This window comes from Homo sapiens, chromosome 3 (genome assembly GCF_000001405.40).
Source record: "Homo sapiens chromosome 3, GRCh38.p14 Primary Assembly".
In the NCBI taxonomy this organism is placed as follows: domain Eukaryota; kingdom Metazoa; phylum Chordata; class Mammalia; order Primates; family Hominidae; genus Homo; species Homo sapiens.
Genome location: NC_000003.12, coordinates 120809520 through 120836748, shown reverse-complemented (window position 1 = coordinate 120836748; position 27229 = coordinate 120809520). Strand labels below are relative to the sequence as shown.

The 27229-nt window shown below is 39.6% G+C and overlaps 1 long non-coding RNA gene across 2 annotated transcripts; it reads left to right on the top strand.

The window, feature by feature from the left end:
• Window positions 1–391: 391 nt before the first annotated feature.
• LINC02049 (long intergenic non-protein coding RNA 2049) lies at window positions 392–24568 on the top strand. Of its 2 annotated transcripts, none has more exons than NR_135570.1 (2): window positions 392–480; window positions 24061–24568. It is a non-coding gene; the product is annotated as a long intergenic non-protein coding RNA 2049 (long non-coding RNA). The 2 variants fall into 2 exon arrangements; NR_135571.1 differs by lacking the exon at window positions 24061–24568 and adding an exon at window positions 2655–3309.
• Window positions 24569–27229: the final 2661 nt, after the last annotated feature.

The window sequence follows — 27229 nt, the reverse complement described above, 5'->3', positions numbered from 1 at the left end:
CCAAATTAAGTGTCAGAAAATAATCAGTTTAATGGCATGCTCAGGCAGTTGACAAAGGCATAGCATAAACACAGGCAAGGTCCAAAGTACTAGTCAGGAACCAGAACTGAAGTCAAATAATATTGGCAAGGTAGCATTCTAAAACATCTAAAAGGCTGTTGTCAAGCCAACAGAGTTTCCTGATTCCTCACCTCCTTTGAGGAGGAAAAACAGTGGCTTGGGCAGTTTGGAGTAGGAAAAGGACCAGAGTAGAAATTCAGAGTCAGAATAGCCAAGAAGTGAGAGGGTGATAAGGAGGCTGGGTCAGATACTGGACAGCAACCAAGAAGTGAGGTCACAAAGCCAGAGAAGCAGGGAGAAACCATAAGGTAACAGATACAAGGCACCCAGAAGAATGTAGAACTTTCATAACAGAAAGAAAAGATTTTAGGCATCTATTTTACCATCTCAGAGGAAGATAGCTGCAGTTGTGTAAAACAGGTACCAGGATTTTAAAAACCTTAATCTTTGTAACTTCTTTATGTTTATAATTTATACTATAAGTATAGTAAAAATTGTTTTGGCAAAACAACTTGAAGGAAAATCCTTAAAACCAGTAGAGCCTGTGGGCTTCCCTTCAAAAGGCCATGTGACTGGGAGCTAAGGAGTCTGTGTCCCACTCTGTGGTCAAGTTGGGGCAGATCTCCAGGGATGGCAACAGCTACAAAAGAAAAGCAGAATACAGAGAGCTGCTCTAGAAACCTTGAGGCTGAGAGTAAGGGCCTGTGTGAGGTCCTCTAAAGTTTGGTGGCCAGATATGAGGTTGATTCCACTTATGCTAAGTCCCCAGGGAGGTTCAGTTGGAAGCTCAGGGATGCAGGAATGAGGGTGAAAGGAAGCATAATTGGGCCAGGCAGATGCAGTGGTGACCACATTAGAATGAGGTGGCTTACTTAGACCTGAGCTGGGATACCCCTGCAAGAAGAGAGTCTCCAGGTCTTCTAGGACTAGGACCCTGCTACTTAAAGGGTGATCCATGGATCAGCAGCATCAGCTTCACCTGGGATGCTTTTAGAAGTTCAGAATCCCAGGTCGCAGCCCAGACCTACTAAATTAGAATCTACATTTTAAATGACCCCCAGGTGATTCCTATGCAACTTAAATTTGTGAAGCACTGGTCTAGGATACCCCCGGAGAATCCAAAAGAGTGGGCCAGGTATGGTGGCTCATGCCTGTAATCCCAGCACTTTGGGAGGACGAGGTGGGAGGATCACTTGAACCCAGGAGTTTGAGACCAGCTCTGGGGCAACGCGGATAAACCCCATCTCTACAAAAGATAAAAAATTAGCCAGGCATGGTGGCATGTGTCTATAGTCTCAACTACTCAGGAGGCTGAGGTAGGAGGATCACCTGAAACAGGGGAGGTTGAGACCACAGTGAGTTGTCATTGCACCACTGCACTCCAACCTGGGTGACAGAGTGAGACCCTGTCTCAAAAAAACAAAACAAAAACAAAAGAGCATTACAGACATATAAAGAAAGGATGGAAGGAAGAGGCTAATCTGTGGAATTGGAGGCAGATGATGAGTTGCAGTTTGAAGCCAGACTCAGAAAAATTCGACGGTAGAGAGCCAGCCAGCACTAGTGCAGGTAGCAGGACCACACCTCTTGGGGAGAGAACAGATTCCTTTTCTTGGCCTGCAAAGAAGGTGACAGTGAGAGAGAGAAAAGGCAATTCTAAAGACCCTCTCAGAAGAAAGTCCCAAAGACAGTGTTGAGGCCTAGAGGTAGGTAAACAAACATTCATTAGAACAAACTATAGAACTTTGTGCCATGAGGTATACATGGAACAACAAACAGTAAAAATTAACTTGGAGATTTTGAGTAAGGAAAAAGAGAGGATACATGTGTCCTCATCATATCCCTCTTCCTATCTAATCCCATAGGCATTATTCTCATGGAGGCCCTAGTTGCTTCATTGTCAGCATCATGGTATCTTCCCAATTGAACTTTCTTCCTCTGGCATCCAGTTCTTCCTGGCACAACTTTCAAAACAACCTTTTCATCATGTCATTCTTTTGCTTAAGAATCCAATTCCTTCCAACTTCATATTGGCTCAAAAAGAAAGAAATTGATAGATATGCATGTGTATTAATATTTCCACATTTCTTGGTACTAGAGTACCAAGAAATACTACTACAAACCAAATTGGTAGCCTTATCATTTTTCTCTCAACTCTTGATCATTCTCATTTTTGTTCATTTGTTTATGATTTTTCCCTTTGCCTGGGTGGCTCTCAGCATCTCCCCCATCAATTCATGACCACCACTCAGTTAAAATCAGATTCAGTATTCACTTGCTACTCTCCTTGGTGATCACCTTGGTTTTCATTTCCATGTACTATCAGATAGATAGACAGATAGATACAAATACATCTACATACATCTATGTACATATACCTATATATAAAATTCTTTTTACATATTATTTATTTTCCAAACTAATTTATATAAAATAAAGGGACTCTACTACTTTTTCATCAGTGTAGAGTGGAATTATTCATAAACTAGATTATTATTAAGGCATTTTAAAGAAATAAATAATTTTACTTTGAAATGTTGGCATTGCCACTTGTTTTTCTTCATGGATAGATAACTTGAATCATTCATTCATAGATTTATTTATTCAAAAATCAACTATTTATGGAATACCTACTTTGTCTTGAGCCCTGATGTGAGAGCTGGAGATCCCAAGATGAATAAGACACCGTCGCTACTCTCAAGGAACTCACAGCCCAGTGAAAGACACAGAGAAGAAACTAGACAGTTGTAGTTGTATCAGACACCTGTAGTTGCCATCTACCTTTCCAGAAATTGTCCTTTCCCACCTACACAGTCACAAAAGGCAATATGATTCTACCCTCACTTTCCCAAGATGATTGGTCCCTCAGGAAGCAGTTGACTCATGAGTATTCTACATTGTTATTGAAGTGATGATTCTTCTGACCAGTGAAGCAGGGTCATATTTCCTGCATTTAGAATTTTATTTGGTTCCCAGCAAGACAATAGCAGTTAGAGTGAATAACTCAGTAATGGGAGCACTGATTGAAAAAGAAAGATGAGAAGAACCTCTGGGACTTGAACAAGATTTAATCTCTATTGTTCTCAAAGAAAACTGGTCTGCATAAAAGAGCTCAAACTGAATTGTTCTAAACTGGAGGGGAAGGGGACTTCTAAACAGCCTATTATTTGAGATTATCCAGATTATATAACTTAATTCCAGATACTTAGGAATCATTTTATTTTCAATAAATTCTATCTTTTCATCTTCCCTGATGTTTTGTGGTGAGTGGCTCTTATCTGGTTTTCAATTATAGATTTCCTCACAATCCCATATTCTTTGTGCTTTTCACTTCTATGTTCTTCAGTGAAACTTGATTTCTGTTGGTTCCTTATTGGAACATATATTTTAGCAGTGCTGTGGTTTATGACATTCTGATATTGTAGGTCCAGGAACACATCTATTTGGTAAGATGAAGTGAAAGGAAAACATTGATAGTAACCTTGATAAGTGAGAAAATAAAACAGGATGAAAGTCAAAGAAAACTCCAGGTAGTTGATTTATAAACAGAAACACAAACATAAATATAAGATAGGGAGTGATACTGTGCAATTGTGTAGAGCTTTGCAGCTAATGATTTGGGGAAAAGAAGAAGAGAAAGATGAATTGCATTTAAACTGCTTATGTATATTAAAAATTTTTGAGAGGCTAATGCTTATCAGTTGTTCTCCATGGAAAAGAGAGAGAAGAAAGGAAGAAAAGAGAAGAGAAGAAAAAGGAGAGAGAGAGATAAAGAGAGAAATGAAAGAAAGAAAGAAAGAAAGAAAGAAAGAAAGAAAGAAAGAAAGAGAAAGAAAGAAAGAAAGAAAGAAGAAGGAAGGAGAGAGAAAAGAAGAGGAGAAAAGAAGAGAAGAGGGGAGGGGAGGGGAGGAGAGCGGAGGGACGGGGAGAAGACAAAAGAGAGGAGAGGAGAGGAAAAAAGAGAACAGAAGATTGGCTTAGAATAAAGAATATTATATTTTGTTGTACACCAGCAAGGCTTTCTTTACTGTTGAGGGATAAAATACTGAAATGGGCTTCTATGGGAGACTGTGGAATCTCTATTCAGTCAATAAGATTTATTGCTATCCTTGGGGAATCATAAAGAGAATAAAAAACTCCTTGAGCTGAAGGATTTAGTTCTTTGCTTACTTAAAGAAAGGTAGCTGAACAATCTTTCAGTATCCTCTCTGGCCCTTGATTACCTTCAAAAACATGATTCGGGGAAATTCAGGAATCTAGTAAGGGAATTGTTTAGAACTGTATGTTGAATTGGTCCCATGCTATATCCTGAGTCTATAAAAAAAGAGATATCTGTATTTTATATAGGTATTTCTCCTAATTTTTAGTTTGACCCTTCACAGTTTGTTGACATCCACGACTAGCTATGGTGTGGGGAAAATGGCTTCTATTTTATCGTAGCATTACTCTCACTCACCACTTACGACAGCTAACATTTTCTGTCACTAAGTGAGGAATGAACACTAAAGATAAAAATAATGTACCCTAATTAGCATAACAATATAATCAACATGGTCTGTCTTATAGTTTCTAAAACATGCCCTTGAATCCTATATTCTATCCCAGGACCTAAACTCCTTTTCCTCTTCTACCTCTCCCAAATTATATGCTAATGATAGCACAAAAGTATCCTGAATTCTAGAAATGTGAGCCCTATGCTTGCATTCCTTGACCCAGAGGCCATAGGGAAAAGAATTCTAAAGAATACAAAAGGAAAGACATCTAGCAGAATGAGGTGACTTACCTACCAAGGCAAGAGTGACATACATGCTAATAGCAAAACCCCCATTTCAAGTTCTAGATACGTGCTGCCCAATAGAAAAATCAAGTGAGTTATGTGCATATTTAAATTTTCTTGGTAGCAGGCCAGGTGCACTGGCTCATGCCTATAATTCCAACACTCGGGGAGGCTGAGGCAGGAGGATTGCTTGAGACCAGGAGTTCAAGACTAGCCTGAGCAGCATAGTGAGAACCTATCTGTACAAGAAATTTTAAAAATAAAATTTTCTGGAAGCTACATTAAAAACTTAAAAAACAAAATTAAATTAAAAATATATTTTATTTAATCCAACATGCACACAATATTCCCATTACAACATGAAATAAATATGAAAACATTAAAGAGGTATTTACATTCTTAGAAATCCACTTTGTATTTCCCACTTACAGAATATCTCAACTTGGACTAGCCACATTTTAAGAACTCAATAGCCACACATGACTAATGGCTACTATATTGGACAAAGAAGTTCTAGGTCATGTATCTGGCTTCATGTATCTTGCAAGGAAAGGCAAGAGCAAAGCAACAAAGGCTGGGCCATTGGGATGGAGTCGAGACTCCTCTTAGGGGCCTGCTTTTCCCCTACCCCCGCACGCCCTCCCCAGGGAGCCAGGAAATAAAAGAAAATCTTGAGTTCCTTCAAGGGAAATTCCAGGTACTTAGCTAGTCCTGAAAAGTAAATAAGCAACTTGATAAGCAAGAGGTAATAGTAGCTTAAAACAATAGCCAGGGAAGTTAGAGCCCTGAGATGTTTGGTTCCATATAGAAACTAGCGATAACATCTTAACATATGTCCCTGAGTTGTTTTTTAGAGACCTGGACCCCTGTCAAACAAATCCACTGGCACATAGACCTCAGCTAGGGAGAAACTGAGGACTGAACTCTGACAGTCATTCTTTGTTCTAAAGTTTTTCCTGAGGGGCGCAAACTTGTCCAACCCACCTTATTTTGTTGTTGTTGTTCTGTTTTGTTTTGTATTAGGCTTTTAGCAGCCTGAAGCGACCGTTTTCAGTTTCTGTCTCTAGTGATAAGTGAAAAAGAGGGATGAGGAAAGGGCTTTACTGGTTCAACCAGAAACAGAAACTAGGAACCCATGGCTGTATTCTCTCCCTTGGACACCCCTGTGAGGAAGCCATGCCCATGAGCCAGACCTACGCTTTCTTTCTGCTGATCCCGGATTTTTAAACACAGCTTCTCTTCTTTAAACAATTGCAAATCAGGAAACTTTTAACTCTACCTATGACTTATAAACCACCCGCTTCAAGATATCCACCTTTTTAGACCAAAGCAATGTATAACCTCCATTTGTAATTTGCCTGTAACTTCCTGTTTTCCTGAAATTTATCCCTGCTTTTTAAAACCCTTGCTTGTATCAGAGAGGTTGGATCTTAAGCATGAGCTGCCCAATTCTCCTTTCTTGGCATCTTGCAAATAAACACCCTCCCTTCTCCCACTGAAAACCCTCAGTGTGAATGTTTGGCCTTACTGTGCTGGGTGAGTGGATCCCAGTTTGATTCAGTAACACTATTTCTGTGGTGTTTGCTCCAGCACTTCTTTAATACTTTTCCCTCATACCATACAGAAAAAAAAAAAATACTTTTTAGAGGGCACTGGACAGGGCATTGTCAAGTCTTTTCTTGAATGACATCTCCTTAGTCCCACCTGACCACTCTATATAAAATTGGAAATCTGCCCCATCCCACACTTCTGATTCCCTCTTACATTGTGCACAATATTCCATAGCACTATAACCTTCTGATAAATTATTTTACTTATTTATTATTGTGTTTACTGTTCATTGTTTGTCTTCCTACCCTATAGAATGTGAGGGAGGAGGAGGGCAGGCATGTGTGTCTGTTTCAGTAGCTAAGGCATCCCAAGTAACTAGACCATTGCCTTGCATGTAGTAGGTATGTAGTAGGTACTGCAACAATAGCCGATGAATGTTAGAGGAGTGAGTAGAATTTTAAAGCTCAGAATTTACAGATAAAAAACACTGGAGCCCAGATAAGTAAAGTGACTTACCAAACAAGCTGGTCAACAGCAGAGCCAGTCGGAAGACTTAAGCTTTTGAACCATTCATCTGAAGCTTTTTACACTATTGGATGTATAAAAAGAAAGAAAGGTAGAGAAATAATTCCATTATTAGATATTAAATATAAATTATGATATTGAAAATACAACATATTTGTGTTGGATTATAAATTCCTTTGGGATAGAGATTGTGTCTTATTCATCATTAAACTTTCTCCCCACCTCCCATAATTAGAAAGAATGTTTTATACACAGTAGGTGCTGAATTAATAAAAGAATGAGTTGTCAGTAGTATCAGTTTGTGGTATAATGTGTGGTTTTCTTTTACTGGGAAGGCAGTGGAAAGAAGTTACTGTGACCATCACAGATGATTAGCTTTTCATCGTGGCTTGGAGAGTTTGAAATCAGGTTGACGTATCTTCTGCTACTATTAGCAACCAGCCTCTGGAACCAAAACACTAAAATCTTAGAAAAGTGTAGAAGATTCCAGAGGCAAATTTTGACAACTGTCTAGTTTCTAATTCTACCTAAAGATTTTCAAGGCCATGAGTGCTGTCAGCTTAAATCAAATTTAATATTTATGTTTCTGAGAATCTGGCTTTTTGGACTGAAATCAATGTGGTGATGACAAACAATGAGGCTGACTAATGAGTAACAAAAGCTGTTCATTGTATGGACCTGTAATAAAACTCAGCTATTGCCATGATGTGATTATATTTATGAGTGTTACATTTAATTAAATATAACCTCTCTTTTAATAATGTTCACCAACATCCTTAATCCTTTGATACCCCTGGGAGAATGGAAAGAAGCCATTGTTGCCTTCCTTTATTAGAGAAGGAAACTGAGATGGAGAAAAGACATTTGTTGGTTATTCAGCAAGTTACCAGCCAGATCATAAATCCATATCTCTGCACTATGAATACCCTTACGAAATACTTCAGATCAGAGTCTAATAATCTTTGATATTCATTTGAACTAAAGGGCATGTCCTTAGTTAAAAGCAAAACTAGCCAGAGAAGTCCTATCTGCCTAGGAAATTCACAATCAAAAGTTTACAGAAACGTACTATTGGCATCCTAGTAACTTGCTCAGCTTGAACATATGCTATATCATCCTTTTTTAGAATCTTTAAAAAACTGATGCTGGAACTTTGGGTGCAGCTTAAAGTACAAACATAGGACAACTAGGGGCAATGCTCCTATGATTGAATCTGAAGTTCAGTAGAGAATTTCAGTGGCTGAAATAAACTGTAGGCATCTTACTATCGTTTTCTTTGAATTTGAAGTTTTCTTTAAGGGACCATAGATGGAAAGCTATTAAAAATTGAGCCATATTTTGCAGATTAATTTGGCTGGAGGTGTCAAAATGTCTTCATTTGCCATGACTGGGGTCCAGCACAAGGGAAACAGTCTTCAGGAGCTGATGCTGGCCTGAGCTAGTAGTATTTTATTATTAGGCAAACTCTATACAAATGTAGTTTGAGTTTCCATCTATGAATTTCATCCTACATTCATCTTATTCTGAAACAAGTAGTTGTCACTGAGGAAAGCAAGCACAGTCTTGAGGATTAGAATAGGTTTAAATCCAGGTCAAGTGCTTGCAATTCGACCTCAAGAAAATCATTCAACTCTGAATGGATTTTTCATCCAAAAAAATAAGAGGGAGAAAACTGTAGGTGAAGGGAAACTTATGAACAGAGACCTCCAGTTGAAGGTGACAGATGACTCTGGGCTTGATTAGGGCAGAGACAACCTTTTCGTTTATTTGTTTTTTGTTTGTTTGTTTGTTTTGCTCTTGTTGCCCAGGCTTCAGTGCAATGGCACGATCTTGGCTCACTGCAACCTCCGCCTCCCGGGTTCAAGTGATTCTCCTGCCTCAGCCTCCTGAATAGCTGGGATTACAGGCATGCGCCATCACGCCTTTTGTATTTTTAGTAGAGACAGGGTTTCTCCATGTTGACCAGGCTGGTCTTGAACTCCTGACCTCAGGTGATCCGCCCACCTCGGCCTCCCCAAGTGCTGGAATTACAGGCATGAGCCACCGCGTCCAGCCCATATTTTAAAAAAAAAAAGAAAGAGAGATGGCATGGATAGAGTTAAATAAGTACAGCCAAAATAAGGATGTGGATTCAACTCAATGGGCCTCAATGGCAACACCTCAAAGGGTGTGTAGAAGAGCAGCCAAGGGTGGTGGTGAAATGCATCTAAGAGCAGTGTCTAGAATCATGGAGGCCCCTACTGTCAGTTGAAGTAATTCGTATGTGAAGTGAGGAGGCCTGAAGTAGCATTGTGATGGAGGGACAGAGGGAAGAAAAATCATCAGGACTTGTTCTCTCTCTCTCTCTCTGTCTGCTTCTTTCTCCATATATTATATGTATATACACCATGTATAGATATATATTTAGAGGGATATGTATCTATATCACATATAGATACCTATATATTAATCAAAATAACTGCAAGATTTAAATCTGGCTTATGGCAAATATGACAATTTAATACACAAAGAAATAAGGCAGAAGAGGAGAGTGGGAAGAGTTTCTGAGATGTTGAAGTCAAGACTGGTGATGGCAAGTCATCCATGGGAAAACACCGACTGAGCTTTTGGTGATATGGACCTGGGGATGTAGATGTATCCAGATTTTGAGATTAAGTATGATGGTGATAGCTGAAGCCTTTGGAACAAATGAGCTCCCCACAGTGAATAGAAAAAAGAAAGAGCATAATTCAGGATTTAAGATGGAATATTGGAAGATTAAATGTGATAATGTATGTAAAGTACTTAGCACAGTGGCTTGCATATAGTAAAAGATCAATAAATGGCAGTTTTTACTGTAATTAAGTACATGCAGCTTAAAAAGATAAGGCAGAGAAGGAGCTTGTAAAGGAGAGAGAGGCATGCATGGTGAACTACCGCAGCTCTTCTTTCAGACTGAAGAGTGTGGTCTCTAATGTAAGGGAGCCAGTTCTCTGTATGAGGATGCCTCAGGGCTCCCAAAGATCATCTTCCACAAAACTCCTTATCAGCTATAAAAGAAAACTAAATATTAACAGCTTTGTTGGTGGGTGGAGTTCCTAAGAGCTATATCAATGGTTCATTCAGGCATTAACTGGGAGTGATGTAAAATATGACCCATGCTCTTTTTATGTTTTTTTTTAAGCCAGAGTGTGTGAGAGTCTACCATTATTCTTCTCCTAGCCAGTTAAGGTCACCCTTGGGAGCATAAAGTGTGGATCAAACTATTTTTGTTTAGGTTGAGTGTATAGACAATTAGCATCAACTAGAAAAGAGACCTCCCCTTTACGATTATCCCTCCAGTTTTACGGCCACTTGACCTCAAATCCATATATCTAGTCAGCTTTCTGACCAAGCAGCCCTCACATGAGGCCCTTTGAATGTTATAGTACCCATGGAAACTTGTATAGGTAGATACTACTAGAAAAGCAGTCATTCATTTATTAACATATATCAGGCACCTCCTCTGATCCAGAGCAGTATCACCCACACTCAAAAAATAACAAGTATAGAAAAGGGTGGTCAATGAATAAAGGAGCAGAGAAAAAATAGTGAGGGCTAAAGAGACACAGGCTGTTGATAAAATGCCACAAAGCATTTAACTCTTCATCTGTCTTCATAAGCTTTCTCCATTTTATAACAGAGAAGACAATTAGACATGTAGGCTACTCAATCATAATTTGTGAATTCTAGGAGAAATTAATGATTCTTAAAAAAGAAGAGTTTTTTCACTTTTCCTACATCAATCCAGCATGAGCACAAATGTATCTCTGTTAAGGCTAGGGGGAGAAAGGGGGAGGGAGAATATGAATACTGCCAGAACAAGCTCAACAGACAGGAACAGAAAAGAATTTTACTGGCAGAAATTAGAAATTGTTCTTTCTCACTCCACCAACACATAAGTAATAAACGCAGAACTACCTTCTGCTGCCTTTATAAGCTGTGTTGCAAAATGATGCCTCAAGGGATAGAAGTAGAATCTACCATGCAATAAAACTATACCACCCTACTCAGAACACCTGAACCTATTACAAAAATTTCCTTTTTTTTTCTTTTTTTTACTCATGATGTCTTTGATATAGACCCAAAGTTAGCTCATAAATGAAGTTAAAACCTTTTGGCCATGGGCCTTTGTAAACCCTCCAGAACTGAAAAGTCTATGATGCAGTCTATAGAATTAATAAAAACCATTACACACATGATTTAAAATGAGTGTTTTATGCATGAGACATGTAATGTTTCAGAGTGTACCAGACATGTAATAGAATGTTTAAAAAGAGTCAGGCTTGATGGCTTATGCCTGTAACCCCAGCACTTTGGGAAGCTGAGGCAGAAAGAAGGGTCACTTGAGCCTAGAGTTCAATCCCAGCATGGGCAACATAGTGAGACCTTGTGTCTACTAAAAATAAAAATAAATTAATTGGGCATGGTGTCATGTGTTTGTGCTCCCAGCTACTTGGGAGACTGAGGTGGGGGGATCACTTGAGTATGGGAAGTTGAGGCTGCATTGAGCCAGGATCTCACTACTGCACTCTAGCCTGGGCGACAGAATGAGGCCCTGTCTCAAAAAAAAGTAGGCGAGATTCTGTCTCTTTTCGACTGAGAACCCTAAGATAATGAACGGCAACCCATCCCCTATTCAAAAGTGAGGTGAAGCTCCTCAGAACAGGGCTTACAGCTTTATGACCATTAGTTATTCACTCATCCCCTGCCTATAAAAATAAGGTTGAACATGCTGAGAAAGTTTTTGTCAATTAAAAAAAAAAAAAGTTTTATTCTAGAATGAATTGTGGAACCATGGTGTCATTTTCCTTCTCCATTGTGCTCACTTTGCCCCAACATGGAGCCCCCCCATAGTACCCCAATCCCAGTGACAGGAGTGTCAAGGACAGCATCAGAGAATTCAGTATGTGTCTCCAGGTCAAATCACGAGAAATCTAAAGGGTTAAAGGCTGCCTGAAGTAACCTGAGCTAGCAAGACAGAGCACTGTCTTGTTGGTAGGTAACTAGGTCACTGCTAACAATAGGGCTAAGGTGCTTGTGTGCCATGGATCAGTTGTGAGAAACACAGAAGAAAGGCTGCTGGTCTGGAACTTGTTTGGAGAGTGCCCAGGAGGATTTTCAGAGGGGGATAAGACAATCTTCAGCAGAAAGAGGCTCAGAAGTGTCAATGGGTATGGAAGTTGCAGCCAGGGGAGGAGGGAACGGTTGAGTGACCCCCCAGGGGAATGTTTGAGGAGGTCACAACAGTACCACTAGATGCTTTGCTTGCATCTCTGCCATAGCTAGAGGAAATTAAGACCACTAAAGTGGTGCTAGTCAGACTTTTGCTATCCCACACCTCTGGTGCCTTCCTGTACTTCAATATTAAAGGAGCCAGAGAGAACCTAGTGAGTGGGGAAGAAGGAAAGGAAACAACCCACGTGCTCCCATCCACACCCAACTGCACAGCAAGCTTCCAGTTGAAGCAGGTCCAAATTAGGGAAAAGAAAAAGATGTAACTTTGAATGAATTTCAAAATTTTTACTATTACAGTGAACTAGATATATTAATTATTGAACTAAGGCTGTTTTAGGAAATCAAGTGACCAGAGGAGACAGATTTTATTGTCTAATTGTAAGCATATAAGATATGAGCTCTACCCAAGATTTCATCTGAGAGCAGAGGAAGATGTAACAGCAGAGAGTACAGGCAATAAAGAGAAAGCACAAAGCTCTTTCCTGATTGCACCCCACTTTGTGCTATCTGTCCATAGGTCCTGCTGAAAGGAGCTAATTTGTCCCTTGTGATGCCACCTCATTCCCAACTCCTGGCCATAGTTCATTAGACCAGGGAAGGCTATCTGACCAAAGTCAGCCAAACAATAGCCCAGCCAGTGACCTGTGACATAGCCTTGAGAAAAAGATAAAATAAATCATTTTCCTTGGTATGACAGTAGGAGAAAAACAAATAAACAAACAAGAGAATTAGTGTACTTCGCCATGAGAGTTGAAGCAAAAATATCATTCATTAATCCAACAAATACTTATGGAGTGCAGTACTATATTATAACAAAGAATTAAAAACATAAAGTCCCTGTCTTCAAGGAACTAACATTCTAGTGGGAAAGAGGACAAAAAGCAATGAAACAAATAAATAGATGAAAGAACGACAGATGATTATTATTGCCATGAATGAAGTAAATAAAGTATTTGGATAAGGAACAGCAAGGGGGAGGGACACTTTATGTAAGGTGGTTTGGGAAGGGCTATCTGAGATGTGATATTTAAACTGAGATCTGAAGAATGATAGAGATTCAGATTTGTGTATAGTTGGGGAAAGAATGTTCCAAATATAAGGAGAAGCAATTGCAAAGACCCCAAGGAAGGAAATTCTCAGCAGATTCCCAGAACTGACAGACAGCCAGGGCAACTGGAGCAGAGTGAGTAAGAGGGAAAGATGAGATCAGAGAGGGAGACAGAAGCCAGATCATGCTGCGATTGGGAAGCCATGGTGAGCACAATGCAAAGCAATGACACAGAATTGAGGCCAGTGTGGACTGTGTGAAATGTACCTTTAGAAAAGAGTAGAGACTGAGCAGTAACTGAACTATCTACTAAAGCTTACAGCTGACAAGTATCGAGTGTTTTCAAACCTGTCGATGTTCTATATCAGAGGTCAACAAACTTTTTCTAAAAATGGCTAGATAGTAAATATCTGACGTTTTGTAGGCCTTATAGCCTTGGTCACATCTACTTGACTCTGCTGTTATAGTATGAAAACATCCATAGACAACATGTAAATGAATTAGTATGTCTGTGTATCAAAAAAAAAAAACTTTTATTTTTGGACACTGAAATTCGAATTTGATATAATTTTCATAAGTCAAGAAATAGTATTTTGAGAGTCTCTGAGCCTATTCTGGCTTGGGAGGCTGCCTGATTTAAAAAAATTAATAAATAAAGTAAGAAATAGCTTTTATTTTTAATCCATTTATAAATGTAAAACAAAAAAACATTCTTAGCATCCTTCTGGCCATAAAAAATAAATAATGAACAGGATTGGCCCACAAGGCATAGCTTTCTAACCACTGTTCTACATGCTTTTATTTGTAAATAACTCATTTAATAGTTTCAACAACCCCATGAGACAGAAGCTATTAATATACTCACTTCGCAGAAGAAACTGAGGCAAAATATCTCACAGCTAGAAATTGGCAGAACCAAGAGATTAACCTAAGCGAATCTGGTCCCAGATCACATGCTTTTAATTTTTCAATCCTGCGTCATGTTAATAAATAATTCAAATTTAACATATGACTGTTTTTACCAGACCCTACAAGGCCTTACTTAATCGGATCCCTGGATACCTTTCTGACTCTATTATCCATGAATTTTCCCTCTGCTCTCAGCACTCCATCCCTAACTGATTTTGGTGTTGATCCCAACACAACAAGCATATTCTTGCCTTAGGGTCTTTGCACTTGCTGCTTCCTCCACCAGGAACACTGTTGCCCTGTGGCTTCCTCTCTCAATTCATTCAGGTCTGTACTCAAATTTTACCTTCTTGGAGAGACTTTCTCTGATTATCCTATCTAAAATAGCATCCTGCTATTCCCTATTTTCTTTCCCTGCTTTATTTTTCTCCACAGCATTTATTGCTGCTTGGCATTATATATTTATCATCTGTTTGTTGCCTGTCTCTTTCTATTAAAGTCTGAACTCCATGATTTTGTCTATTTTTTTTCAACACTTCATTCTTGGTACATAGAGCAGTACCCTGCACATCAATAAATATTTGTGAATGAATGAAGAAAAAGCAATCAGGAGAAACAAGAAAGTCACAGAGATGATATTATTTAGAGAAGCCATATGTCCCTGAGAAAATTCAAAAAAGCAGTTATTTTCTAAATTGCTTTGGCTCTCACCAGATTTTCAGGCTCGATTATAGTTCAAGTATATCCTTAGAATAGCTACCCCCTCACCCCATTTGTCTCTGTTCCTTGCAACCAAAGGAACTTAACTAAACCTGAAATTGATACCAGGAATAGGGTGTTACATAATAGGTCCAATTAAAATGTGGCACTGGGTGTGTCCTGTTAGCAGGATGAAGGGCAGTAGCATCTCATTCTAGTATGAGAATACAGTAGTGTAGAGTATGTGGAGCTAAGGCTGGAAAGATGAAAAACCAGGGGCTGGGATATCTTGGGCCCTTGAAAGACAAGTATTTCAGGAATCTTGTGGCCACTGCCTTAAAGCATTTCTGAGCAATGAAAGTAAAGAATTGTGGTTTATTACTTTTTATTTTCTAAGGTAAAGTGCAAGAAGAAAAGAACAATCTTTGCTTCCAGGTTGCCCAGCTAGCAGCAGATAGAGAAACACAGGGCCATTTTACAGCCTTGTAGGTAATCCTTTTTGCATCTGTCCTGTGTCTTACAAATCAACCTGGCATGGTATGCCCATGCTGAGTGTAAAGAAAAAAAAAAGACAAATTATGCTGCCCAGAAGTGGGTTAATGAGCAGGAAAGGATTGTTCTGTAGGGCCTCCCCTCATAGGGAACTCCTACAGCAGTGTGAAAACTCAGGCAGTGTGATTGGTGACCAACAGCAAGTTCCTCTCCAAAGAATCAAGAATGTAAACTGTTACCTATGGGAACTACTGGTGCTATCACATAGCCTATAATCCACAAGAAGCTAGCCAAATAGTTCAAGCTTGACTGCCGGTTGTAGGGTGTGGATAGGGGGATTGCTGCAGATGATTGCAAGCCTAGAGTGTAAATGGGCAATGAATGAATTGCAGATGTATTTATGTTGCCTCGCCACCTTCAGCCCTTCTGAGAGGAACTGCTCTGTTCAGCAACCTGACGGTGTCCAGTTAACCTGGTTATATAGCACAACCTTTGCCCTGTTGCCTCAACAACTGTTGCTAAGAGAACCAGGCAGGCTGTACATCCCAGGCTTACTTAACATAGTAAATGTTTCTCAGTTGCCTCTATTTGTTATTTGAATTCATAAAAAGCAATGAATATTTTAAAGCTATAGTACAAAAGCCCAATAAATTCACATAGACAACTCTCATGCTCTATTTTGCCACATTTAACAAACATAAATATCCAATGATTTAAAATGTAAGATGATTACTGTTTTCTAAAATAGTCATTATTTTAAGAACTATAATGAAGCTCATCTCAGCCTTTGTTTAAAAAAAAATCCTTATTTAAAATGTTAAAGGGCCAGGTGCAGTGGCTCATGCCTGTAATCCCAGGACTTGGGAGGCCAAGACGGGTGGATCACGAGGTCAGGAGTTTAAGACCAGCCTGGCCAACGTGGTGAAACCCCATCTCTACTAAAAATACAAAAATTAGCCAGGTGTGGTGGAGCATGCCTGTAGTCCCAGCTACTCGGCAAGCTGAGGCAGGAGAGTTGCTTGAACCCAGGAGGCAGAGGTTGCAGTGAGCCAAGATCACACCACTGCCCTCTAGCCTGGGCAACAGAGCGAGGCTCTGTCTCAAAAAACATAAAAATAAAAATAAAAATTTTAAAGTAACTTAATGTATTCGTTAGGAATAGATATGACTGTAAATAACAGTGAATTAAACAGAGCAGTTTATTTTTCTATCAGATAAAAAGTAAGGTGGTCCAGGGCTAGCATGAGAATCCACAATCCTTAATATTAATGCTTCCTCCAGCTCTCTGTTTTGACATCCTATGACAAAGTCCATATTCATGGTCCAAGATGGCAGCTAGAGTTCAGTCATCACCTCCTTTTTCCAGGTTGCATAATGGAGAAAGAGATGAAGAAGAAGGGGAGAAGGCACTCAGTGACTACATTTTCAAACTGTTTCCTGGAAGGTGCTGCACAATCTTTCTGCTTATGTCACATTAGCTAGAACTTAATCTTAGCTGCAAAGAGAGTGGGAAATGTCTATATTCTGGGTGGCTGTGTGCCTAGATAAATATTGGGAGTTATATAACTATGGAAAGAGAAGAATAGATATTGAGGTAAACAACTAGCAATCTGTGCGACATTTCAGAATGGAGCTCTGGAATTCTGTTTCCAGAGCAGCTTAGCCACAGTAGTTGCTAAGGATAAGGAAAGATTAATCCATGTGACGATTGAGATATGCCTGGATAGATGTAGAAAAAAAAATGGAGGTATAAATTTATGTGAAAGAGTAAGGATAGAATTTTTTTTTTTTTTTGACGGAGTCTCACTCTGTCATCTAGGCTGGAGTTTAGTGGCGTGATCTCAGCTCACTGAAAACTTCACCTTCCAGGTTCAAGTTATTCTCTTGCCTCAGCCTCCCAAGTAGATGGGATTATAGGCATGCACCACCATGCCCAGCTAATTTTTGTATTTTTAGTAGAGACAGAGTTTCACCATGTTTGCCAGGCTGGTCTCCAACTCCTGACCTCAAGTGATACTCCCGCCTCAGCCTCCCAAAGTGCTGGGATTACAGGCGTGAGCCACTGCACCCAGCCGGGATAGAATGTTGTGATTCTTAAATATAAAAAGGAAATTAACTATTGGTTGAAAAATACTAACGTGGGGTTGGAAAGGAGAGCTATGCTCTTAATGGATACCTCCACTGCCCTTCATGTTGCAGAAGTGAGAGTGTAGCAGGAATGGGGAAGAGTCACTTTAAAGTGATGAGTAAAAGCAGGGCTTGGAACACTATGGCTCTAGGATCAAATCCAGCTATTTTTGTAAATAATGCTTTATTAGAACACAGCCACTTTCATTCATTTACATCTTGTCTGTGGCTGCTTTCATGCTATAATGGCAGAGTCAAATAGTTGCAACATAGACCATGTGGTCTGCAAAGCTGAAAATATTTGTTATCTGGGCTTTTACAGAAAGTTTGCTGACCTCTGATTAAAACACCTGAATGAAGTGATCCAGTCTCTGACTTTAATACTTCCTATGGTCTTAAGCAATTTCACGTGCAGTAAAATTGTGGATTTCACTGTAACAGTGGGTTATAAATATAATCTGATCTACAATCACAAGGATGCAGTAGCTGCATATTATTGGGGAAAGGGCAATGTTCCTTTTCTAAAATAATGGGTTGTCATTTTCCCTGGAGAAGTTTCTATTTCTTACTGTAGCTTGTTAGGTTTTCTCTGGCTCTGCATTCTCCTGTTTTCATAAGACCCCTTGCACAAACTAACACAGGAACAGAAAACCAAACACCACATGTTCTCACTCATAAGTGGGAGATGAACAATGAGAACACATGGACACAGGGAGGGGAATATCACACACCGGGGCCTGTCGCGGGGGCAGGGGCAAGGGAGGGAGAGCATTAGGACAAATACCTAATGCATGCATGCGGGGCTTAAAACCTAGATGACCAGTTGATAGGTGCAGCAAAACACCATGGCACATGCATGTCTATGTAACAAACCTGCACGTTCTGCACATGTATCCCAGAACTTAGAGTAAAAATTTTTTTTAAAAAAAGACCCTTTGCACTGCTATTGAAACAATCAAATGTGAACCTGAGCTCTGATACAGAATGATAATATCCCCAGGAATTCATCATACATATTGTGCTGCTGTTGTTTTAGTGCAAAGTGAAGGGATTTAATGTTCTTAAGTTAATGAATTTACCTATTCAAATAAAACATCAATTTACAGAGCAAAGAAAGAGAAAAGAAAATCATCTTTCAATTTTTCATCTTTCAATTTTTAGATCAAATGACCCCTCCTCCTTAAAGGATTCTGTTATCTACTAGACAGAATCACTCTTAGCCTCTTCTGTCTTCCTGTAGCATACAGCTTCTATCTCTATTGAATCTGTCACATTATGCCTTGTTTTGAGGTTGTCTATGAACAGATCTACCTTATTCTCTAAAATGTTATAATGGTATAACTTATTAGCTTCTAAATGTCCAGGGTCCAGCACAATACCTGGCACCTAAAAGGTGCTCAACAAATGTTAGTTGACTTTAAATGTGCAAAAGGAAGACTGTTAGGCTCCACCGCATCTCCTCTGTCTTCTCCATTGCGGAGGCTGTCAGATCTGCCTACAGCCGACCTTGTTCTGGACAACGTGTTCTCTCCTCCTTTCCCTTCTCAGTTTACTTGTTCATTTCCAGATCTATATAAGCTATAAACGTGTGAGAATCTATCACATTTAAATTTTCAAAATATGGATTTTCTTCTATCTCTAAAAATTCTTATTCTGTGATATTTTTGTTCACTGGACAGTGTTTTCCCTTGCTTCCTTTTCCATCCTTAAATTACCTTCACCCTTATGCACTCCACAGAGCAGTGAGGCAGAAGAGACAGAAAAGGAGCTTGATTTCCCTACATTCCCTACCTCCCTTCCTCTGTGCTCCATTGATCCAAAATCTTTGGACCCATCTTGGCAAGAACTGACTGATCAGAAGTGCAGCAGCTTCCCTGTCCTGAATTTTAAGCCTCATAACAGAGGAACAGTCTCTTCTTATTCCCACTGTCATCAAAACATGGCCTTAGCTACGAGGACATATAATTATTTTAAAGAATTATTTTAAAAAACAATTTCATGAAAAACTAATTATGATAAAACTAGGAACCCACAAGAGTCCATACTCCCATGATGCCTTCATAGGCCATGGACCAGCTCTGCCCTGTTAGCAAGGGGCCTAACAGCAAGGATCAATGCCTCTTTTGGCCCCAGTCCTTTGTCTGTGGGCCCTTTTGCCTTTTCCTAGTGTTACTGTTGCCAGGGTTGATTCTTAGTGTTCTAGCTTCTGACGTACCCACCATATGCAGCTGCCAGACTGAAAGGGAAGAAAAATTGATTTCAGCTTCCAGCTTGAGAATGTTCACGCTGCTCTGACCTTGAACAGGGCTACTTCACTTTCTTGCCAATCCTCAGTCCACAGCCAAGGTTTACTTTCAGTACTGTTTTGATGCATTTTGCAGGATTTTTTTTTCTTCACATCTTTTCTGTGGCCTCTCATCTTGCCTGGCCTTGCGCCCTGATCCTCTCCAAACCCAGCAGGGCCTCCTAGCCAACCAGGAGAATGATGGGCACTAAGACAGAGTTGCAGCACCAGCTCCTGGCAGGCTGACGGGTACCAGGGAGGACCAGTGGCCAGGAGAGAACTGAGGCTGCCTGGTCCATCTCTCTTAGCCTGAGAATTGCCTTGACCCTTGTAAATAAAGAGAGACTGGTCCTAATATTGAAGTGGTATGACCTCTGCCAGGACATATGCCTATTTTTGCCTCCTTTTAAATTTATAACATAAAAATACACCAGGAAGTTACAAATATTCACAAAGAAAGAGACTCAATGTCAGAGCAGTGGTAAGCACTCCTTGGAAGAGAGTAGTGATTGCTTTAGGCTAGAACCACTAAAGATTTGAGAAAGTCATACAGGAGAACTCAAATTTGATCAGACTTTCCAACAATAAGATCCAAACTAGATTAGGTAACTCCGTAGTCAAGCAATTACACTTATTTTTCCAGTGAGTATATCTTATTGTCAGAAGTTGTACTTGTCTAGGAAATACTGATTCTTGCACAGTACTGTGATTCTAGAATCTTCTATGCCTGCCACAGCCCATACCTCTTTCCTGGGTCACATCCCAGCAAAAGGTGGCTGCATGACTCTCTCTGAGGCAAAGTTTAGCCTTACTGCTAGGAAGTAAAATGAAGATTCTTAATTTCTTCTGTAGGCTGGAAGTCAGTAAAGGAGAGACAGGAGATCTCGTTCCAGTTCCATCTTGGCTTGCTTTATATCTCTGGACCTCAATTTCTTCCCTTTACAAAATAAATAGGCTAAATCTTTCTTTAACATTCCTTCCAAGCTCTGCTGCAATAATTCATTCCTAGCTGCATCAAGTGCATCATAACTCTGAAGGCAAGAGGAAAATGATTGGTGCTCAGGTCCACTGATTTCTTTTTGCAGCACAAATGGAAATTCTTTACAGAGAAAAGCTGCCATATAGCCTTAGATATGGAGGAGAGGAGTTGTTATCAAATAAAGCTATACTCCAGCTGTCCTGGACATCAGTTCTTCTTGAGAAGCAGTAGAGTCTATAGAGACCAGCAAGAATCATCTACTTCAAGCATCATTTCTGTCCTCCACTGCTCATCCAGTTCACTACACACTGAGCAAGCACTTTTATGTGCCAGGCATTATTAGAAATACAGAAATGAATTAAGATCCTTTTCCAAATCAAGCTCACAGTGTTTGATAAAAGAAAAACCTAGAAAGGTAAAAACCCAAGGGTCCTAGCTGATGGGCCATTCTGAACCTCTTGTTCACCTACTCAGGAAGAAAATTAAGTAGAGATTCAGAAGAAGATCTTGGAAATCAGACACACCTGGATTCAAATTTGGGCAAGTTAATCTCTCTCCTTCAGTTTCCCCACCTTTAAAATGGCATAATGATAGTATATTTCTCAAAGAATTAGTGAGATAGTTCATCTAAAAATTCTTCACTTTTTTTCCACAAATATTTTTTGAGATATTCTATGTATCAAGCATTTTGGAAGATAACTAAGGATACAACTTTGAGTTGTTGATGTGGTCTCTCCTCTCATAAATTTGCAGTGTGGTGCCAATATTTACTAGGTATTACATAAATAAATTTATAGATTGCAATCATGGTAAATGCTATGTGTCATTGGGTTCTGCAGAGTTAGATTCAGAGAAAGAGTCAGAAGCATACAAGATTCATTGGGGGTTAATGTCCGAGAAAAATTAAGGGTGGAAGAAGCAGGATTGGGCAGGAATGAGCGTCAGACTGCAATGCTGTTGTCAAAGTCTTGGCCAATCAAAGAGAGACTTGGAAACAAAGATTGTCTAATAGAGGAATCCCAGTTGGATAGAAATGATCAGATGCTAGTCCCCTTACTACGTCCAGCCACGACACTGGGGCTGCTCCAGAAGAGTGTGGCTGAGGCAGGCCCTGAGACACTAACGGCTGGAGGCAGTTAGTCGTCTGCACTCCTTTCAGCTGAATGGCAAGGTCTTGAAGGGACATCCTCTTGGTGTACCCCCATAGCTGTCCACACTGTGAAGGAAGCAATAGGAGAGGTTGCCTAGGCTTTCCTGACAAAGTTTCTCGCAGATGTGGAGGACGAGGCAGTGTAAACCAGACCCAGAGGTGTAGGCAGGAGCTGTCCAGGATTAAGAAAGAACACGTGTGAAGCACCAAGCCAGGAGACGGCAGTGTTTGTTTTAAGGGACAAAAAGAGAACAAGAATTGAAGCTGAAGAGGCTGGAGCCAGATACAGTAGGGCCTAGTAGGGATATGTTAGGATTTTGATCTTTATCTTAAGAGCAAAGGGAAGCTGGTGAAGGATTTTAAGAAAGATATGGAGGAGTCAATAACATGATCAGATTTGCATTTTTAAAAAATTACTGTTGCTGTTATGTTGAGGAAAGAATTAGAACAAGAGGAAATGCAGGAAAACCACTCGGAGGTTCTTGCACAATGTTTCGCACATAGTAGTAAGCCCTCTAAAAATAAGACCGACATAGTCTTTATTAATAATTATAAGCCTAGCTGGGTGCAGTGGTTCACACTTGTAATCCTAGCACTTCAGGTGGCCAAGGCAGGCGGATCGCTTGAGCTCAGGAGTTCGAGACCAACCTGGGCAACATGACGAAACCCCATCTCTACGAAAAAATACAAAAAAAAAAGTTAGCTGGGCTTAGTGGCGTGCGCCTGGAGTCCCAATTACTTGAGTGGCTGAGGCAGGAGAATCACTTGAACCTGGGAGGTCGAGGCTGCAGTGAGCTGAGATCATGCCACTGCACTCCAGCCTGGGTGACAAAGTGAGACCCTGTCTCAAAATAATAATAATAATTATTATTATTATAAGCCTGAATTACATAGTCTTACTCTTACTCCCTCCATTAAATCTAGACACTTTTGCATTCACTTTAGGCTCTCTACCAGTTACCTCTTTATTTATCATAAACAGCATTGTTCAATAACTTTACATTTCATTACTCTATTTCAGACATTATGCTTTGTTTTAAAACTCTTCCTGTTCTCTGAACACATTTCTACATTTTTGCTCCAAACCACAGTTCTTGCCCATCTGAATGCCTTTCCCCATTCTCTGCCAAAAATTATTTTCCTCTTGTTCCAAACTCTGCTAAAGTCTTTCTGGCCCACTCCACATAGCCTGATATTCCCTTCTTTTCATCATCCTTCTGGTAATAACAGAGCACTGTAAAGCTATAGTGTGTATTGGAATGTGTGCTTATGTTCTTTTCATGTTCTTCTCACTTCTTTTGAACTCTTAGAAATCAGAGACTTGAGGAGGAAATAGGCATAAAGGATAGCTTATCTGTTCAAGAAGCTTAGCATTTTTTAAAAAAAGAAAATAATAGTTGGAAATGATCCAAAAACGTAGGTTGTTTTGGACAGAAAATGGGAGCAAATGCAAAATAAAAACTGCTAGAGAAGCAAACATAATTGTTATGTGCTGGGAAAAATAGCTAAAGATGAAAGGAACTAAAATGTATTGAGTTATTACCTAGTGCCAGTCACTATTCTAAAAGCTTGGCATATATTATCTCATTTAATTCTCACAACAACTCTATGAAGTATAATTCTTATCCTTGTTTTATAATGCTGAATGATGTATATCACCCAATTGCCTGAGCTCTAAAGAAAAATAAAATTTTCTTGGGCAGCTAATTGTTGAGCTTTAGTTGTGCCATGTGATGAGAAGGAGGGAGGGTCACTAGAAAGAAAAGGTGATAGCAGCCAAATGGCTTCAGATAATTAATTTCACTTCCAGAAGAAAAGACTGGGTAGTGGGAAGTAGAGGGAAGAGATATAGGCAAGGAAGTAGGAGTTAGAAAGGAAAATCAACAATATATTTCAAGGAAGTTTTGTATATTCCTTCCCCATCTCCTTAAGAAACTTTAGTGAAGACCTAGACTGCTCATTTTTGTTTCAGGGTTTTTGTTTATTTTGTTTTTATTCTCCAATTGTGTACCTAATCTGGCCTTGAAGGAAGAGCTAGATAGCCCAACTCTTTCAGATTTATCTGGAGATAAGTTCTCCCAGGATTTTGGAGGAGTATAAATTGCAAGAATTAACTTTGGACAAAGAGGTACCTATTTATCTGGATCAACAGGATAAAATAAGGGAAGAAGAATGAGAACAGTTTTCTCTCTCTATGTTACAGTGAAGGAAGACTTTGAAAGAGCAGAATCGTGAGGAATGATGCCAGTGCCATTTGCTGAAAATGAAAGCAGGAACTTGGACCAGAAGTTTTAGAATCCTGAATTTATCAAAGAAATGTGAAGGCTGAGGCTTACAGAGATCGAAGAGTAGAGGATGCATTGAGGCCACAGTTGAAGGAAAGAAGCCTGGATTTCCACTGAATTTGGGCTAAATTTCCACTATTCTTCTTCCTCTTCCTTAAGATTCTGCTCATTGGGTTACCCACCAACCCAGGAAACAGACTTATCTCCTTATCCTCAAGTTGCTGAAGGCAGGAAGAATGAGCAAGGTTTTGCTCAAGGAAGAGCTATTGTAACAAAATAATTGTAATTAGTCTGATAGTGCAGGGAAAGAAACTCCATTTCTTCTGAGGAATTCGGGGCATTATTTGCATTTGAAAAAGCAATCTCATTAGAGCAGTATGTTATATTATAAGACATTTTGCAGAAAAATGTTTGAGAAGAACCATAGCAGTCTCTTGCATGTGCATGTGTGCCCACACACAGACACACACACACTCTGAATTTTCCACTTAAAAGTACATATACTTCAATTAAAAAGCAATTTGAAAAGTAATATAAATTGATCAGGGGATGTTCCTAAATTTAAAGAGGGAAAGACTTGTAGAGGTTTAAAAATAAAAGGACTTGGGGTTGGAGGAACAGGCATTAGGGAAAGCTATATGGCAAGGTTAAAAGAATTGTGGAATTAATGCTATTTAAAAATAATTGCATTAGAAATCTAGCTAATGGGAATTAGTCCATTTCATTGACTTAGATAGTTATAAAATTAATTCCTTTTTGTGGGAATTTTAATTGGGTGGCTACAACCAGATGCACATGAGGAATCCCCTCCTGGTGCTAGAATTGCAATCAGGATGTTCAATTCAACAACAGAGTTCGATTCATCAATTGGGTGAATCTCCCAATCTAAAAAGGTTCCGCATAGCTACTATGCACCTAAAATTGCCCCCAAATGGTTTTCTTACTTTCATGTTATTCTAAGTTTTTTACTCTTGGTGAAACCTCCTCACATGCTAGGCTACTTGTCTATTTTCATCCCCCCTTAGCCTCACTTCCCAAAATATTTTATCATTTTCTCTTTTGGGTCAACAATTACGGAAAATAAAATTATTTCTATTTCAAAGGATTTTAATTATCTTCTTATTCTCTTTTCCCAGTTTATAGGTTAAAAATCCAAGACTAAATAGGTGAATTTCCCCAGGATCATGTGCAGCTGTTTAAGGGGAAGAGTGGGAAAAGGCCTAGAACCCAGGTCTTTCTACCACAGGCCTCCAAACGTGCCACCTGCTGTTCAATAACTTTCATGGAGTAGCTTTCTCATCCTCTAATTTTCCCTCCCAGGAGCCTTTGCCAGCTCATTATTGCTCCCCTGTGAGATGGAGATCAATATTACACACACACAACATGTTTATGCAAGTGCAATTTCACATGCCCTGGTTTGTTTCCTAAACACATTTTGTGGCCTTTTGGCCTAATTTGCACATTGGGCATATGTCTCACTTTAAGTAGGCTGGCCCAAATGCCTTCCTTCTCCAGGGAGTCTTAAAACAGAAAAAAAGAATTCAATAGGAAATTAAAAGAATACAAGAACACTTGAAATAATACAAATACATAACAGAAAACTAGAAGTCATGATCCCATCTCCTCACCCAACACTGTAACCATTATGATGCATATATTAGTCCACTTTCATGATGCTGATAAAGACATACCTGAGACTGGACAATTTACAAAGGAAAGAGGTTTAATGGTCTTATAGCTCCACGTGGCTGGGGAAGCCTCACAATCATGGTGGAAGGCAAGGAGAAGCAAGTCACATCTTACATGGATGGCAGCATGAAAAGAGAGAGCTTGTGCAGGGAAACTCCCATTTTTAAAACCATCAGATCTCATGAGACTTATTCACCATCATGAGAACAGCATGGGAAAGACCTACCACCATGATTCAATTATCTCCCACCAGGTTTCTCCCACAACACATGGGAGCTACAAAATGAGATTTGGGTGGGGACAAGAGTCAAACCATATTAGTTCACTTCCTTTAGACTGTTCCTGTAGGCATCCCCTTTTCATTATCATTATTTTTCCTTAATTCAACTTAGTTCAAACCCAGTGTTGGAATAAGCTGTCTATAAACTGCCTTGCTCTTCCCTGGAATCCATGAAAAAGCATCCCAAGAACATCAATACATCTAGAGCCTCACCCAACACATAACTGGGAGTTGGAAATAACTTTTCAGCCATTCTTTGGTTAGAAGGTTGTGGCAGAGATTTCTAATTGCCTATTTAATGTCCATAATTCCCTTTATCTTACTAAGAGAACTCCAATTTTATTGAAGGCAACTCAGTGCTAAGTTTAAAAACTATATTTCCACAGCTTCTTTTTAAGTTAGGATTGGTCATATCAAACAGATTTGGTGAAAGGATGTAAGCAGAAATCACAGGGTGGACTACTGAAGAGAATGCTCTTTAAAGGGGACTGGCTGACTTAGTTGATAAGTAGAGTTTGCTTTCCTCTCTTCCTTCTTCTTCCTCCCTGTATGGTGGATGTGATGGTTGGAGCTGCAGCAATTAACTGTGACCATGAAGCAATACTGAAGATGAAAACTAGATGCTAAGGATGTTGGCATCTAAAAGAATAAGGGTGGGATTCTCTGACATTGTGGTGCTTCTATACGAGCTCTGGACTAACAACTGCTCGACTTTACATTGCTTGAGAGAAAGGCGCATTTCCATTTTACTTAAGCCACGCTTTTTATTAGATTGTTTTTTACTTGAAGCTAAAAAGTACTTGTTAATATAGGGGCCAAATAATCCTGAAATGTGTACAAGGAAAGCTTCCCTTGAAGCCCTAATGGCTCCTCTGAGCCTGAATCTTTTGGTTACCTGGGATTCCCCAGTCATCTCTATGCACTCCTACCTTCCATGTTGGTATCTTGGCAAAGCCAGAACCTCAGCTTTTGGACTCTTTGGGCTTGACACTCTGGACTCGTAGTGCTGAGCTCTTTTCCTCTTACACTGCCCCTGTTTCCAGTTGCATTCCCCAAAAGGTCCTGACTTTGCCTGGGAAGCTCTTGCTGCTTCCAAATTTTACCTGTCCTCACTCCCA